Genomic DNA, 16,450 nt, shown 5'->3' with positions numbered 1-16,450 from the left:
CTTCACCTAGTGACCTTATTTGGAGATGGGGTCTTTACAGAGGTAATGAGGTTAAGATGAGGTCATTGGGGTGAACCCTAATCCAAATGTCCCCTTTTTGGACACAGAGAAAAGCACCAAGGGAAGACGATGTGAAGAGACACAGGGAGAAGACAGCCATCTACAAGCCAAGGAGAGGGACCCGGGACAGGTCCTTCCCACAGCCACAGAAGGAGCCAGCCCTGCCCACACCTTGAGCGCAGTCTTGCGGCCTCCAGAACTGTGAGGGAGTCATGCTGTTGTCTAAGCCACCCAGCCTGCAGGCCTTTGCAGTGGCAGCCGGGACATGCATTCAGATGTATTCCTTGGCCGCACTAAGGTGGTTTTCAGGGGGCAAGGGTGAAGAGTAGACCCCTCCCTCTGACGTGCATACAGGCAGCAGAGGCAGCTGGCACTCAAGTTCCCACAATGCCCATGGGTCGCAGCTCCCGTGTCCTCGCGGTGCCTGAGGGTCCGGCCTCCTAAGAAGCCTGGCGGTGGTGCGTGGGTCACGGCCCTCCTCTCTCATGCAGGGATGACGTCACACCACACCACGGGGGCCATGGCACTCCTCTCTCACACAGGGATGACGTCACACCACACCACGGGGGCCACGGCCCTCCTCTCTCATGCAGGGATGACGTCACACCATGGGGGCCAGAGGCCCAGGTCAAGATGCCCAGGAGGTGGCAAGGCCAAGAAGGCCCCAGAGCAATGCCTCACTACACCTGCCAGGCCCGCACCAAGGTTGCCTGCTGCTCCTGCATCCCATCACCCCAGGTCCACCCAGGCCGCCATCTCTGCTGCAATCCATCCACTCATTCCACCCTGCCCCCTGGTCACTGTGGTGAGTCAGGTGCCAGGTCAAACATGGGGACACAGTGGGGGACCAGCCAGACCCAGTCCTGCTCCCGTAGCAGACACTCTAGTTGGGGGTCAGACAGTGGACAAATGTGAACACGGGGAGCTAGAGACAAGCTGTGAGCCGACACTACTGGACCACGAGGTCACACAGGACCACGAGGCCACACAGGACCAGGAGGTCACACAGGACCATGAGGCGGTACAGGACCACAAGGCCATGCAGGACCGTGCACAGGATCACAAGGCAGTACAGGACTATGAGGCTGCACAGGACCATGAGGCCACATAGGACTATGCACGGACCACAGGGCCGCACAGGACCACGAGGCTGCACAGGACCACAAGGTGGTACAGGGCCCCAAGGCCACGCAGGACCATGAGGCCACACAGGACCACGAGACCATGCAGAATGATGAGGTTGCACAGGACCACGAGATGGTGCAGGGCCACGAGGCCACACAGGACCATGAGGCTTCAAAGGACCATGCACAGGACCACAGGGCTGCACAGGGCCATGAGACCGCACAGGACCACAAGGCGGTGCAGCAGGTGGCCAGAGCCTGGGGGGGAGGCAGGGGTCCTTGGTGAACCCTGCACTTTTGTAGCTGTCCATGGTCTCTGCACAGTGGAAGGGTTGGTGGTCTCTCCTGGCTTGAACTGAACAGGAGCTGGCCCACGTTTCTGAAAAACAGCAGAAGCTACCGTTACCATGGTGCCCTATGAACATTATCTCTAAACTGGCCAATGAAGGGTGAATTTCAGTGCCCAGTGGCATGACCTTCAACTACCATGGCCTTCAGCTTCATGGAAAAGGGAAGAAAAAAAACAAAACAAAACAAAACAAAATCCAGTGACCGAAAGCAAGCAGAGGCTGGGCACGGTGGCTCATGCCTGTATTCCCAGCACTTTGGGAGGCTGAGAGGGGTGGATCACCTGAGGTCAGGAGTTCGAGACCAGCCTGGCCAACATGACCAAACCATCTCTACTAAAAAATACAAAAATTAATCAGGTGTGGTGGTGCATGCCTGTAATCCCAGCTGCTCGGAAGGCTGAGGCAAGCGAATCGCTTGAACGTGGGAGGCGGAGGTTGCAGTGAGCTAAGATTGCGCCACGGCACTCCAGCTTGGGGGATAGAGTGAGACTTTGTCTCAAAAAACATAATAATAATAAATAAAAATAAAAATAAAAAAGCAAGCAGAGCCGGCAGACCTGATATTACCCCTACGTTTCTGATGCTTCAGCTGAGATATTGGGCAGGCGGGCATCAGGCAGGGGCAGGCAGAGGAGTATCCGGCAGAGGGAACCGCTGGACAAAGGCCGGGGATCAGGAAAGGACCCTGGTGCTGAGGGACTGAGGGAAGACCAGGGAGGCCCTAGAGGCGGGCAAGGCTAAGGTTCGGGGTTTTGTCCCAGGCCGTCAGAAGCCCCATCGGAAGCTCTGCAGGGGTTTGGGGAAGGGCAGGAGTGTCTAAGTGTCACTCAGCGGCTGCTGGGTAAATTGATCTCGGGTGCTCCCAGGGTGGGCATGGGGTGGGGCGGCAGCAGGAGGACCGTGAGCCGACCGGGTTGGGGAATATCCTGGAGGTAGAAGTGCGGGGCTTGGCTGAGTGACTCTCCAAGAAGCCTCACAGATTCTCCGACGGGGTATGCCTCATGTGGCCTGATCAGCGACCTCACATCACTCTATGAACTTTGTTTCTCTTGTGTCTGGAAGCCCCAGACCTATTCAGGCCAAGATGCGTCAGGATGTGGTACCGTGGGGGGCTGCGTGTGACGTCTACCCCACATTCAGGTGCGTCAGGATGTGGTACCATGCGGGGCTGCGTGTGATGTGTACCCCACATTCAGGTGCATCAGGATGTGGTACCGTGCGGGGCTGTGTGTGACGTGTACCCCACATTCAGGTGCGTCAGGATGTGGTACCGTGGGGGGCTGCGTGTGACGTGTACCCCACATTCAGGTGCGTCAGGATGTGGTACCGTGGGGGGGCTGCGTGTGACGTGTACCCCACATTCAGGTGCATCAGGATGTGGTACCGTGGGGGGCTGTGTGTGACGTGTACCCCACATTCAGGTGCGTCAGGATGTGGTACCATGGGGGGGCTGCATGTGACGTCTACCCCACATTCAGGTGCGTCAGGATGTGGTACCGTGGGGGGCTGCGTGTGACGTGTACCCCACATTCAGGTGCGTCAGGATGTGGTACCGTGGGGGGGCTGCGTGTGATGTGTACCCCACATTCAGATGCGTCAGGATGTGGTACCATGGGGGGCTGCGTGTGACGTGTACCCCACATTCAGATGCATCAGGATGTGGTACCGTGGGGGGGCTGTGTGTGACGTGTACCCCACATTCAGATGCGTCAGGATGTGGTACCATGGGGGGCTGCGTGTGACGTGTACCCCACATTCAGGTGCATCAGGATGTGGTACCGTGGGGGGCTGCGTGTGACGTGTACCCCACATTCAGGTGCGTCAGGATGTGGTACCGTGGGGGGGCTGCGTGTGACGTGTACCCCACATTCAGGTGCGTCAGGATGTGGTACCGTGGGGGGGCTGCGTGTGACGTGTACCCCACATTCAGGTGCGTCAGGATGTGGTACCGTGGGGGGCTGCGTGTGACGTGTACCCCACATTCAGGTGCGTCAGGATGTGGTACCGTGGGGGTGCTGCGTGTGACGTGTACCCCACATTCAGGTGCGTCAGGATGTGGTACCGTGGGGGGGCTGCGTGTGACGTGTACCCCACATTCAGGTGCGTCAGGATGTGGTACCGTGGGGGGCTGTGTGTGACGTGTACCCCACATTCAGGTGCGTCAGGATGTGGTACCATGGGGGGCTGCGTGTGACGTGTACCCCACATTCAGGTGCGTCAGGATGTGGTACCGTGGGGGTGCTGCGTGTGATGTGTACCCCACATTCAGGTGCGTCAGGATGTGGTACCGTGGGGGGCTGCGTGTGACGTGTACCCCACATTCAGATGCATCAGGATGTGGTACCGTGGGGGGCTGCATGTGACGTGTACCCCACATTCAGGTGCGTCAGGATGTGGTACCGTTGGGGGGCTACGTGTGACGTCTACCCCACATTCAGGTGCATCAGGATGTGGTACTGTGGGGGGCTGTGTGTGACGTGTACCCCACATTCAGGTGCATCAGGATGTGGTACCGTGGGGGGGCTGCGTGTGACGTGTACCCCACATTCAGATGCATCAGGATGTGGTACCGTGGGGGGCTGCGTGTGACGTGTACCCCACATTCAGGTGCGTCAGGATGTGGTACCGTGGGGGGCTGCGTGTGACGTGTACCCCACATTCAGGTGCGTCAGGATGTGGTACCGTGGGGGGCTGCGTGTGACATGTGCCCCGCATTCAGGTGTCCTGGATTTTGCCATGTCGCTGCAGGTTTCTGCCCTACAATCACAGGGATTCCATTTTCGCCATTTGTCATTTTTTGAAAAGGTGGGGAAAAGCGTATGGTGAGTTTCTAATTGTGCACCTGGCCTGTGGCAGAAGACAACTGCCTTTTGCTAATGCACTGATAAGAACTGCACCCTCCCTCCACTGCAGACCCTTTCCCAGAGTGGCTTCCAGCTCCCTGTGTGCACAGCCTGCCCTCCTTACACGCACACTTCTGGTACAGCGAGCTGCGGAATGCCTTCATTGCGTGATGTGACCTCAGGCCCGCTCCTTCATGTCACCATCCCCAGCCAGCCAGCATAGTGGGCAGGACCTGGGACAGCTTACAGTGGCTTGGCTCTGCCCAGAAGTGATTGCAAACCTCATAAAGATGGTCCACCAAACCCACAGTAAAGAGCCCCACACAGCCAGCCCACCACACAGCCATGCCAGGGCAGGCAGAGCAAAGACAATGGGCTTAACTGGCTGCCTGAAAACATCAAGGTTTGGTTTGATTTGTTTTGCAAAAATCTATCAAACCACGTGACTGTGAACACACTGCTGGGCTTTCCAGATCACGGGGGCAGCTTTGCACAAGTCCTGCAGCTTAGGCGTCGTGACAAGGTAAGTCTGCCTTTCCGCAGCAGGTTCACTGGGAGGGATCAATTGTATGAAAGTAAAATCATGAATGTCAGGTATATTTCAAGATGTTTCCAGCATCATCGCTTAGAGCTGCGAGGTCCTGGAAACCTTGGCACGCACCCGCAGAAGACTCGCCGCTTAGAGCTGCAAGGTCCTGGAAGTAACCTGGGCCCTCACTTGCAGAGATTCACCGCTTAGAGCTGCGAGGTCCTGGAAGTAACCTGGGCACGCACGCGCAGAAATTCGCCGAATGCACGTGGGTGTGTGCACACAATTGAGCAGGGCCCCACGGGAGTGTGACGATGTCTGGAGACCATTTGGGCTGTCTAGACTGGAGAGCGCTCCTGGACATCGTGGGCGGAGGCCGGAGATGCTGTTGAACGCTCCGCAGGGCACAGGACGGCCCCACCACAGAGACTTGGTCCACCCCAAGTGTCTACAGTGCTGAGGCCGAGAAGTCCTGTACTAAGGTTTATCAGCTGTCAGAAATGTCAGGAGACAAAATGACAACATATCTGCTTATAGGTCTAATTGGCTTTTATTCACTCTTCATGAATCGGGGCAGAGCTCCGATTCTGTTTCTACAAAACACAATGAGAACTCCCACCAGGCAATGGCAGAACAGCAGGTTTTGTAAGGTGGGAACAAAGAATCAGAACAAGAGGCAGACGGCGACGGCTTTTTGTGTAAGGGGTAGAGCGGAGGAGACGTACTTATTACCTGACTCAGGTAGACTGGAATCTCCTGTTTTCAGGAAATACTGGTCTGCTTGGGACCTATCTGCTTCTTTAAAGTGTCAGTTTCATTATGTGGCATTTAGCACGAGTGCCTTCATTTTGGTTTGATCTGGTCTGTTGGGGCCTCATGCGGGAGCTCTATCCACAATGATGACCAACCTCACCCCAATTTTTTTCCTAACAAAATGAATGGATGAGTCTAATATATATTGACCTGGCAGATGTCCAGAATGTATCCTTGAATGAGAAAATGCAGCTGTGGATGAATGTGTGTGGTCTGATCTGCCTGCAGTGCCCAGCCCGGCCCAGGAGGGAGGGGGACAGGGTCTGTCCACACTGGGCCATTAGCACGGAGCGTTTGCTCAGAGAAGGGACCTGGAGAAATGAGAGGCGATTGTCTTTTTTTCATTAAAAAAAAATATATATAAATCTCCTTTTGCAGTGTGTACAATCATTTGGCCTGCCTGTGGGGTAAGTGGCTGGCATCTCCCTGGGAGCAGAGCAGGGGTCAAGGTTCTGCCTTCAAGGCCAGTGGGCTGGAGAGCTGCCTCCCAGCCATCCAGAGTGATTCAGCGCACAATTCAAAGGCATCTCCATCCCTTTAATTCCGAGATGCGGTTCTTGGCCCAGCAAGCGCCTCTGACTCCCCACCCTGTGGGCTCACAATACCTGCTTCTGGGACGAATCAGCGAATCTAGGACAAGCAGCCAGAAGTGAAACAGGCAACCTGCTCTTTAATCTCCCTGTTTCCAACAACATCAGAGAGGCGAGAGCCAAAAAGTCAGAGGGAGGAGGGCGATGGGCTGGTGCCCGACTCCCAGCAGAGGCCCTCAAAGGCTGCAGAGCCCAGGGGGGCCCCAACGGCGGCATGACGGGGCCACACCGCCCGGATGCCTCAGCCAGGCTGAGAAACACACTGAGCCCTGGTTCCCACAAATTCGGCTTTTATGTGGCGGTGAATAGGGGTGAACAATGGATCTATTGCAGGCTACACAGAATTGGCCCAGCTTGGGTCTCCCTCCCTCAATTAGGAGGCTTGGCAAGGCAGGGTTCTGGAGCCCCTGGCCTGCCTGTAAGCCTCATAAACACCACCGGCTGCTTGAATTTGGGGGAGGAGATTCCACCATCCCCTGGGGTCTGTTGCTGGCCAGACCCCCTCCCTGGCATCCCCAGCTGCCTGCATCCCAGATGGTGGCTGCTGCACCATTCCCATTGCCGTGGGCTCAGGCTCGGCCCGCGGCCTTCAGTCATGCCTTCCAGTTTCCCTCAGGATGGGACCCCCTACTCCCCTTCCACACTATGGCTCCCGCTCTTCAAACCCTTTTCCTCCTGCTGGCATCTGGGGCATCACATCCAGCGGGGGCTGGGCGTACAGAGGAATCTCAGCCCCACCCTGCACTTCCTGAGCCCAGGGCCTCACTGGCTCATCTGTGCCCACTCAGCCCCCAGCCCTCTGCACCTACAGCACAGGGTCAATGCTGTGGGCCCACCCTCCGCAACACCCACCCCACCTCCTGGAAGCACCCACTCTCACCTCTGCTAGCTGTTCCCCTAGTTTTCACCTACATGCAGTATTTCCAAAGAACACCTTTAATGGCATTAATTTTATGTGTCAACTGGGCAAGTCTGTGGTACCCAGCTGTTTGGCCAAACCCCTGTCTAGATGTCAATGCAAAGGCATTTTAAAAATGAGATTGTCCAGGCACGGTGGCTCATGCCTGTTATCCCAGCACTTTGGGAGGCTGAGGCGGGCGGATCACCAGGTCAGGACATCAAGACCAGCCTGGCCAACAAGGTCAAACTCTGTCTCTACTAAAAATACAAAAATTAACTGGGCGTGGTGGCACATGCCTGTAATCCCAGCTTCTCGAGAGGCTGAGGCAGGAGAATCTCTTGAATCAGGGAGTCAGAGCTTGCAGTGAGCTGAGATCACACCACTGCACTCCAGCCAGGGCAAGAGAGCGAGACTCCATCTAAAAAAAAAAAAAAAAATGAGATTAACATTTACATCGGTTGACTGATTAAAACAGATCCCTCTTTATAATGGGAGTGGCCCTCATCCAATTAGTTGAAGGCTTTAAGAGAAAAGACTGAGTTTCCCCAGAGAAGGAATTCTGCCTCCAAACAGTCTTTATACCCAAGATGGCAACCTCAGCTCTTCCCTGGGTCTCCAGCCTGCTGCCTGCTCTATGGACTTTTGAGTTTGCCAGCCTCCACAATTGCATGGATTAATTCCTTAAATAAGTCTCTCTCTCTCTCCACACACACACACATCCTACTGATATTCTATTTGTTCTGTTTCTCTGGAAAACCCTGACCAATACACATCTCCAGTGAAGGGAGCCCTCGCAATGGTCCCCACTGACCTCTGGCTCCTGGTGTTCACACCCTTGTATAATTCTCTCCCCTTGAGTGAGGGCAGGGCGTCATGATGGATCAACTGTGTGGAGTATGGCAAATGTAACGGGTTACAAAAAGACTTCCATCTTGCTCTCCCCCTCTTGTCCCTCTCTGAAGTCACAACCCTCACTCTGGGAGAGGCCAGTGGCCCTGATGGGAGCGGCCCTATGGAGAGGCCATGTGGCAAGGAGGCCACCAGGCATTAGGGATCTGAATCCTGGTGACAGGCATGTGAGTGAAGTGGATCTTTCCCCAGTCATGCCTTCAGGTGACTGTCCTCCAGCTGATAACCTGCAAGAGACACTGAGTCAGAAGACCCAGTGGTCTTGTGCCTGGATTCCTGACCCACTCATGAACTAATAAACACTTGTGATTTGGGGTCTGTTTTCTAGAGCCAATGTGTTTTGGGAGTAATTTGTTACTCTGAAATAGGTAACTAATGCACCACTCTCTCTTTGTCATCTTAGACCTTATCTGTTGAATTGTTGCTGTCTCACACTGATTTTCATTTCCTCTTCCTCCCAGTATAGCTATATCATGGTTTGGGTTAAATCAATATTCATGCCTCATGGGATCATGATCATGTAAGTAAAACATAACACTGAGCTAGGTAGTGCATTCTAATGGTATTTCTTTCTGAGCACATTTTTATTTTCCTGGAGTTAGTTATTGCCTTGCTTTTATTTAAAAACAAAAAGTTAGCTTTCTATGTGCCTATTTATATTCCAAATGTTTTAACAGAATTCTCAAATGTCAGCAATACATTTTCAAACGCTGAAATACACCAGATAATCCATTGTTTCCATTTTCCTTTTCTCCTGGCAATTTCCCTCTTCGGACCTTTGCCCCTTCCTCTGGAGTCTTGATTCTCTGGACCTGAGTTGTACCTGCCACTCTGGGGGACTCCCTTCACCTCTCGTCTGAGTTGTGCAACCTGTTTTCTGTATCGTATAGTTTCTCTGTACACTATGTCACCCAAACACAGTTCTAGTAGAGTCTTAAGAAAGGGAACATGGGAAATAAAATGTTGAGTCCCAGTAGGTCTGAAAATACCCTTTTCAATCCTAATGGTGGACTGGTCACTTTTTAGGTGTGATATTCTAGGTTCTCTCTGAAGTACTCAGGGCATCTTGCCATACGTCCCAGCTTCCAGTGTGACCATGGAGGGACCTGATGCTTTTTGAGTTCCTGCCTTTTTTATGTGATCTGCCCTTGCAGGTTGGATACCTGTAAGCTTTTATTTGGTTTCCAGTGTCCTGAAAGGTCCAAAGCTGTGCCTTCTTGTGGGTTTTTTCCTCTTCTGGCCTCTCCCAGAGTGAGGATTCTGACTTCAGAGACAGAGCAAGAGAAAAAGGAAGAGAGGAAAAGGGCAGAGAGTGAGCCTGGTCATCAGAGACGCTATTCTCCTTCGCCGGAAGGAGACTTGCTATATTTTCATGATTGCTGTGGACATTGGCTCTGCTGAGTTGAGCCTCTAATGTTTCTACTTTTCTCAGCAATTTTCCATATTTTGTCTTTTTGTTCTATTTTAGGAGAGACTTTTGCTGTCTTCTTACCTTTCTGCTAATTTTTAAAATTTAGATTATTGCATTTTCAATGGCCAGTAATGTTCCTTGTTTCAGAATGCAGCTTTCATTGTAGCCTCCCATTTTGTTTCATGGACAGAACGTCTGTCTAACCCCAGTGCTGTCTCAGCCGATGCTGTCTAACGCCAGTGCTTTCTAACCCCGATCCTGCCACCGTGTTTCCCCCATCCTCCCTAAATGCAGGCTTGTACCTTGAACCTTGTGGATATCACTGAGAGCTGACGCCACATGCCAGGAGCTTCCTGGACACAATCCTATTGTTTTACTCTTCTCAGATATGGAAGCTGAGGTATGGAGATGGTGAGTGTCCTGCCCAGTCGCATAGCCTGTCACAGCCTGGCCAGACTCACCGGTAGGGATCCCTTCCAAGCCTGGGGCATGAGCCAGCCTAGGAGGCTCAGCCCCTCCCTCCCTGCACGTCCGCCTGGTGTCTCTCACACGTCTTCTTGGTGGGGTGGAAGAACCGTCGCATTTCTCCCTGCAAGGATCCTTCTGAGGCCCCCTCTCCTCGAGGCTCACGCCCCACCCCATCGGAGTACAAGTCACAAGTCCTTCTACCCACCCCAGCTAGGGGCAGACCCCGAGCTGTGACCCAGTGGAGTGTCCCCCGCCTCTGAGAGGTGGCAGTGACTCCTCTCAGAAGCATCATAGGGCTGGGAAGACTCCCGAGTCCCAGTCTCCACTGGCCACTGCAGGGCCTCGTGTGTCACTGCCTGGGAGGTGGAGGTGATATGAGCTGCAGACGGTGAGCTCTGACAACAACGAGGCGTATCTTTGTTGAGGGCTTCTTGTGTGCCAGGGACCCCTCTTCTTTAGTTTCCTTCACAACCCAGGGTCACCACCATTTAACAGATGGGGAAACTGAGGCACAGAGGTGTTAAGTAACTTGCCCAGGGTCCCACAGCTAGTAAGAGGCAGACCCAGAAGCCAAGATGCTCTCACATGAGACACCTGTGGTCTCAGCACAGCTCAGGGGTGAAGTGGCAGCAGCTGGGAAGGAGCTGGCCAGAGGTGGGAGGGTGCTCTGGCAAAGTCCCAGCCCAGGGCTCCTTCCACCCCTGCATTTCGGGGCCTCAGAGTCAGGTGCAGAGGGCTCCTACCACCCCTGTGTTCCGGGGACTCAGAGTCAGGTGCAGAGGGCTCCTACCACCCCTGCATTTCGGGGCCTCAGAGTCAGGTGCAGAGGGCTCCTACCACCCCTGTGTTCCGGGGACTCAGAGTCAGGTGCAGAGGGCTCCTACCACCCCTGTGTTCTGGAGACTCAGAGACAGGTGCGGTTTTCCAGGGTGTGGGCTCTGGGTGGGCAGGAGTGATGCAGCCTGGGTGGGGTGAACCTGGCCATTGTCACCCGCTTGCCAGACCCCAGGAACTGGCCTGAGATCTCACAAGAAACCAGGACACTCCAAGATCCTGAACTGGAAATGGTTTAGAGCACTTCTTTGGGTCTGGCTGAGTTACCCCAGTGGGAAAACGGCCTGGGAAGGCTGGGTTTGAGGGGCTGGGGTCAAAGTTGGAGAGTGCCTCTCCCAGAGGAGGGACCTAACTGGGGGGACCTCCAGAGCTCTCGTCCATTGGGTTTTCACCCCTCTGAGCCTCCATTCTCATCTGCAAGGTGGGACCAGTCAGTGCACGGCCCTAGGAGCTGGGCAACAGACCTGGATAGGGACGCCTGGACCCCCCACCCTTACCTACAGGCAGCGCAGCACCACAAGTGCCCCAGGGAGCTTGCAGGCTCCCCTCCCCACCTCACCTGCCCACCCACTGGGACCTGTGGCCTTGGGCCGAGGCTTCCTGCGCAGGGCTGCCCTCTCCTGGTTCTGGTGTGCCAGTGCACTTCCATCCCCATTCAGGACTTTCTGTTTCTTGAAAGCCCAGATAATCAGAACCTGGAAAGACCTTAGCAAGGGTCTGACCCAGCTCCTCCTTCCCCCAGGGGAGACAGGGAGGGGTGGAGGAGGTCTCCTTCTGTCCAGGTATCTGCTGACTGCGAGTCCGCTGAGCTCTCTCCAAAGGCAGAGATGGATGTCACCAGGCAGGGGCCAACCTCCCCTGCACACCCTGATTTTCTGTGTCTCCAGGCATCCTGCCCTGGACTGGGACCCACATCGGCAGGTTCAGGAGGGGATGGCAAGAGCCAGTGGGCACACAGGGTGACTGTGGGGATGGGCAGGGGACGCATGTCCAGTGACAGAGGATGACAGTGTCCTTCCGGGCTGGGTCTGGAACTAGCCCTTCCTCACCTGTGTTCCTTGGGAATCTTTTTCCAGGTGGTAAACTAACGCAGGGAGAAAAGTTTATCTTAGACAAATCCGTATGGGTTGTGCAATAGGAATTTCTTCCTTTTTGGAGATCCCAAATGCCCATTTGCTAAATGTCCAGGGGTGGGTGGTCCCACCCCAAGGGCTGCCCATGAGTCTCAGCCTTGTGCTTGGCCAGCTGTGAAGGAGGCAAGGAGCTGGGACGAGAGCACCTCCCTTCCCTTCCAACCAAGTCCTTATGGGCTCCTCTGCCTTCTCCTCTTCCAGGAAGCTGGCGTCCTGGCCCCATGGTCGAGGACCCAGAGTGTGAGCAAATTTAGAATCGAGTACCCCTGGTAAGCTGCTGCAGTTGTCTTGCCACTGTTTATCTTTGAGAGCCATGGCTTAGAGAGCCCCCTGGGCGTTCTTATGGACAGACACCTGGACGGACGGAGCCCCAGACCCCTGCACCGCAGTGAGGAAGCAGCAGCACTCACAGAGTTGGCCTCACAGGAGGGGCCGCACAGTTCTGTCTGGGAGGCCTCGGGAGACATCAGCAACCTGCAGTCCCAGGGCTTTCAGAGGACCAGGGCATCTGTGCAGAAGCTCAGGCCCTGCTCAGGGCTCTTGGAGGACCAGGGCATCCATGCAGAGGCTCAGGCCCTGCCCAGGCCTTCTGAGTGGGCCTCTGTGCAGGTGACAGAGGAGTGTCTTGGGAGAGGCAGGAAGGGTGGTCTGACCCTTACCTGCTGGGGCTGCCCTGAGACTGGGCTTATTATCCCACTCCAGTCTTGGCTGTGCACTCTGGGCAGGTACCTTCCCTTGTAGAGCCTGTTTCCTCTCCAGGGAGATGCAGACGATAAGAACAGCGCTGACCCTGCTGGGAGCCAAGGATTTCAGGGGACAGTCTATGGAGGGGTGTGGCACAGAGCAGCTGCTGGGGACGTGAGCTGGAATGGCGCAGACCTTTCTCACCAAGCGGTGATGCTGTTGTGGGAAGAGACCCACCTCCCCACTCCCACCCAGGGACGGGTCACCTGAAGCAAGTATCTACCTATCTGATCAAACAAGGAGGTAACTGATGGCCTTCCGAGGGTCACGCTCTGCCTTCTGGCAGGCAGGTCTCTTGTGCTCTATCTTTGGCTTGGCTCTGGGTCCCCCTTGGAGCTGGCCCCCGTGTCCCCAGAGACCCGTATGTCAGGAGGACTGAGGGATGCACGGATCGGGGTACCTCCTCGTCCACCTCACTCCTCATGGTCCCTCTAACTCCAGCCTCAGCTACAACAATGCGCTCTGCCCAGGCCTCACCTGCCCTGCGGCACAGTCCTCACCTCACCTGCAGCGCCTGCTCCTACTTCATGCTTCCTCCCTGACTTCTCTGAGATAACTGCTCTGGAAGCCTGCAGCAGCCCAGTAGGCACCCCAAACAGGAAGTGGGGGAGTTTATCCCATGGGGCAGCCCCCCGCCAGTGGAGATGGGAGACAGTGGAGTGGATACACACGCCTCCTTCTAGGCTGAGGATCAGAAGCCCCGGGGCATGCCCCCGCTGCCCGCAGCAGCACCAAGCCCGCGACTCACCCTGTTTCTCCTTCCCTGCTGTCTTGCTCCCAGTACTACATTCCCACTGCCTGGGTCACTTCCCAGGTAGAGCACATGCCCATGCAACAAACCACACATGTCACACACGCACATGGGTACACACATGCACACGGACACACAAACCACACACACATAGCACACACCACACACTTGCACACGGACACACACACGCACACACACACCACACACACATAGCACACACCACACACATGCACACGGACACACACAGGCACACACACACCACACACACATAGCACACACCACATACATGCACACGGACACACACTCACACGCACCACACACACATAGCACACGACACACACATGCACACGGACACACACGCGCACACACACCACACACAGCACACACCACACACATGCACACGGACACACACACGCACACACACACCACACACACATAGCACACACCACACACATGCACACGGACACACACAGGCACACACACACCACACACACATAGCACACACCACAAACATGCACACGGCCACATACACACACACCACACACACATAGCACACACCACACACATGCACACGGACACACACATGCACACACACACCACACACACATAGCACACGACACACACATGCACAAGGACACACACACGCACACACACACCACACACATGCACACACACACCACACTCACATAGCACACACCACACACATGCACACGACACACACATGCACACGGACACACACACACACCACACACATGCACAAGGACACACACATGCACACACACCACACACACATAGCACACACCACACACATGCACACAACACACACATGCACATGGACACACACATGCACACACATACCACACACACAGCACACAACACACACATGCACACGGACACACACATGCACAATAACAGAGTACACACACACCCCACACCCCACACCCCACACCCACCCACTTAACACACACCACACACATGCACACAGACACAGTACACACACACACAACCTACACCCCACCGACAGAGCACACAGCACACACATGCACATGGACACAGTACACATGCATGCACACATACACACACCCCACCAACAGAGCACACAGCACACACAAGCAGGCCCCCCCACACAATACACAGACATGCACACATACAAGTACACATCCCAGACCCCACCCACATAGCACACAGCACACTCATGCAGGCCCCCCCACACACACAATACACAGACATACACCCATGCACATGCCACACCCACACATCCCACACATGCATTCAAGCACACAAACACAAACACACATGCACATACGTGTGCACAGACATACACACACCACCTCACACATGGACATGCACACGCGCACACACACACACACATTCTTCAGGCTAAGACAACACTGGCTAAATGTTGATGCAGTGTCTGGGTGTGGCTGTTGGAGGCTCTGGGTCCTCTGGAAAGAGGAAGATGAGTGGGTGTCTCCCGCCTTCTCTTGCTCCAAGGGTGTGGGGGCCGTGGGCCCTTCCCTTTCCCAGGTCCCTTTCCTCCCGCGCAGCCAGGCCAGGCCACCCCAGCCCAGCCTTGTGCCCGTGGAGATTCCTCCTGCTTCACCAAGGCGCTGGGGCCCTGGCTGGCCTCTCGGTGATGTTTCCACCAAGCAGCGCAGGGTCCTCAGGTGCCTGTGTCATGGCATGTGGAGTGTGGGTCCTGTCGTGGGATTCAGGCACCTGTCACAGCCCACCTGGAAAGCTGGTGCTTCTCTCCCTGAGTCATGGGAGGGCTCCCTCTGCCCTGTGTCCCCATCCCTGGCTCCAAGTCTGAGAGAAGAAGGCTCTGCCAGCAGTGACCTGCCCGCCTCTCTGGCTCTATCAGCTTCTCTCTGTGATGAGCCCAGCCCGGACCAGCTCCAGACAGCCATAAGTCCCTGGGCCAGGGGCCTCAGCTGACAGGGAGGCTCAGGGCTGCAGCCCATCTGCTCACATCGTGTAATGACCATGACCCTAGAGTTCCAGGAGGAAGCATCTCAGAAAAGACCCTCGTGGGCGTGGGGAGCTGCCCGCCTTGCCCCCAGGGCTAGGGCCACGCTGGTGGTCGGGGGCCTGGAGCCCCTTCTCCCCGCCAGCCTGTGCTCAAAGCCTTGGCTTTTGGCCAGACCTGGGCATGGAGCCAGGGGCCAGGCGGGTCCACATGCTTCTGTCCTGCACAGGGTTACCAGATTTGGCAGAAAAAGAAAAAGAAAGAAAAACAGGTAAAATTGGAATTTCAGTTAAACAAGGATGCTTATCAGTATAAATATGTCCCTGGCAATATTTGGGACACACTTATACTAAAAAAAGTATTCATTAATTATTTGAAATTTACATCTAACATGGCATCTTGTATTTTTTTCAGGACGACCAGGGTCCCAAGGGCCCCCCACAACCCCAGCCCCACTCGACCCCAGGCCAGATTCCCCTTTGTTTCAGGAGAAGCCTCTCAGGCCCTGAACTGGGACCTGGTCAGGAATTCTGAGTTGGTTAAAGGAAGGAATTATATCTTTTTTTAAAAGAAGCAGCAAATGGGCCTTAAATAGTTTAGCTTTCAAATCTGCCATCTTTATGGGACCGTCTTGTAACATGCGGGGGGCTTTTCTCTGACCATCTCCTGCCATGCATGGTACCCCAGGAGGCCCAGCTGTGCAGAATCCGGTGAGAACAGCGCCCCTGGGGTGCGCCTCCGCCACGTCCCCTCCTCATTCCCAGCTTGGTTTCCCGAGAACGGAGCCTTCGGACGCCCGTGATCTGCAATCCAAAGTCAGGTCCAGCTGGATTTTCACTACTTTGGTTCTAATCTTTTAAAGCTGTCACACCCACATCTAATTAGACAGTTTTTCGTGATTTTTACTGTAAGTAGGCCTCTCCAAGTCAGCTTAGTTTTAATCCAAAAAGCTCTTTCTTTTCATGTTCATTAGAAATCAAGACATTTCGTTATTTTATTAAAATAACAAGGACAATCGGCA

General features: G+C 54.8%; 1 annotated feature.

Moving 5' to 3' along the window:
• Window positions 6,250-6,749: an enhancer, noted in NCBI's record as "H3K4me1 hESC enhancer chr2:241094499-241094998 (GRCh37/hg19 assembly coordinates)". NCBI's record gives its function as "activates a minimal SCP1, AML or CMV promoter by ChIP-STARR-seq in naive H9 embryonic stem cells {active_cell/tissue: H9 hESC(naive)}" and the evidence as "EXISTENCE:reporter gene assay evidence [ECO:0000049][PMID:30033119]".

Source organism: Homo sapiens, chromosome 2 (genome assembly GCF_000001405.40).
Source record: "Homo sapiens chromosome 2, GRCh38.p14 Primary Assembly".
In the NCBI taxonomy this organism is placed as follows: Eukaryota; Metazoa; Chordata; class Mammalia; order Primates; family Hominidae; genus Homo; species Homo sapiens.
This window is presented reverse-complemented; position numbering and strand designations above follow the sequence as displayed.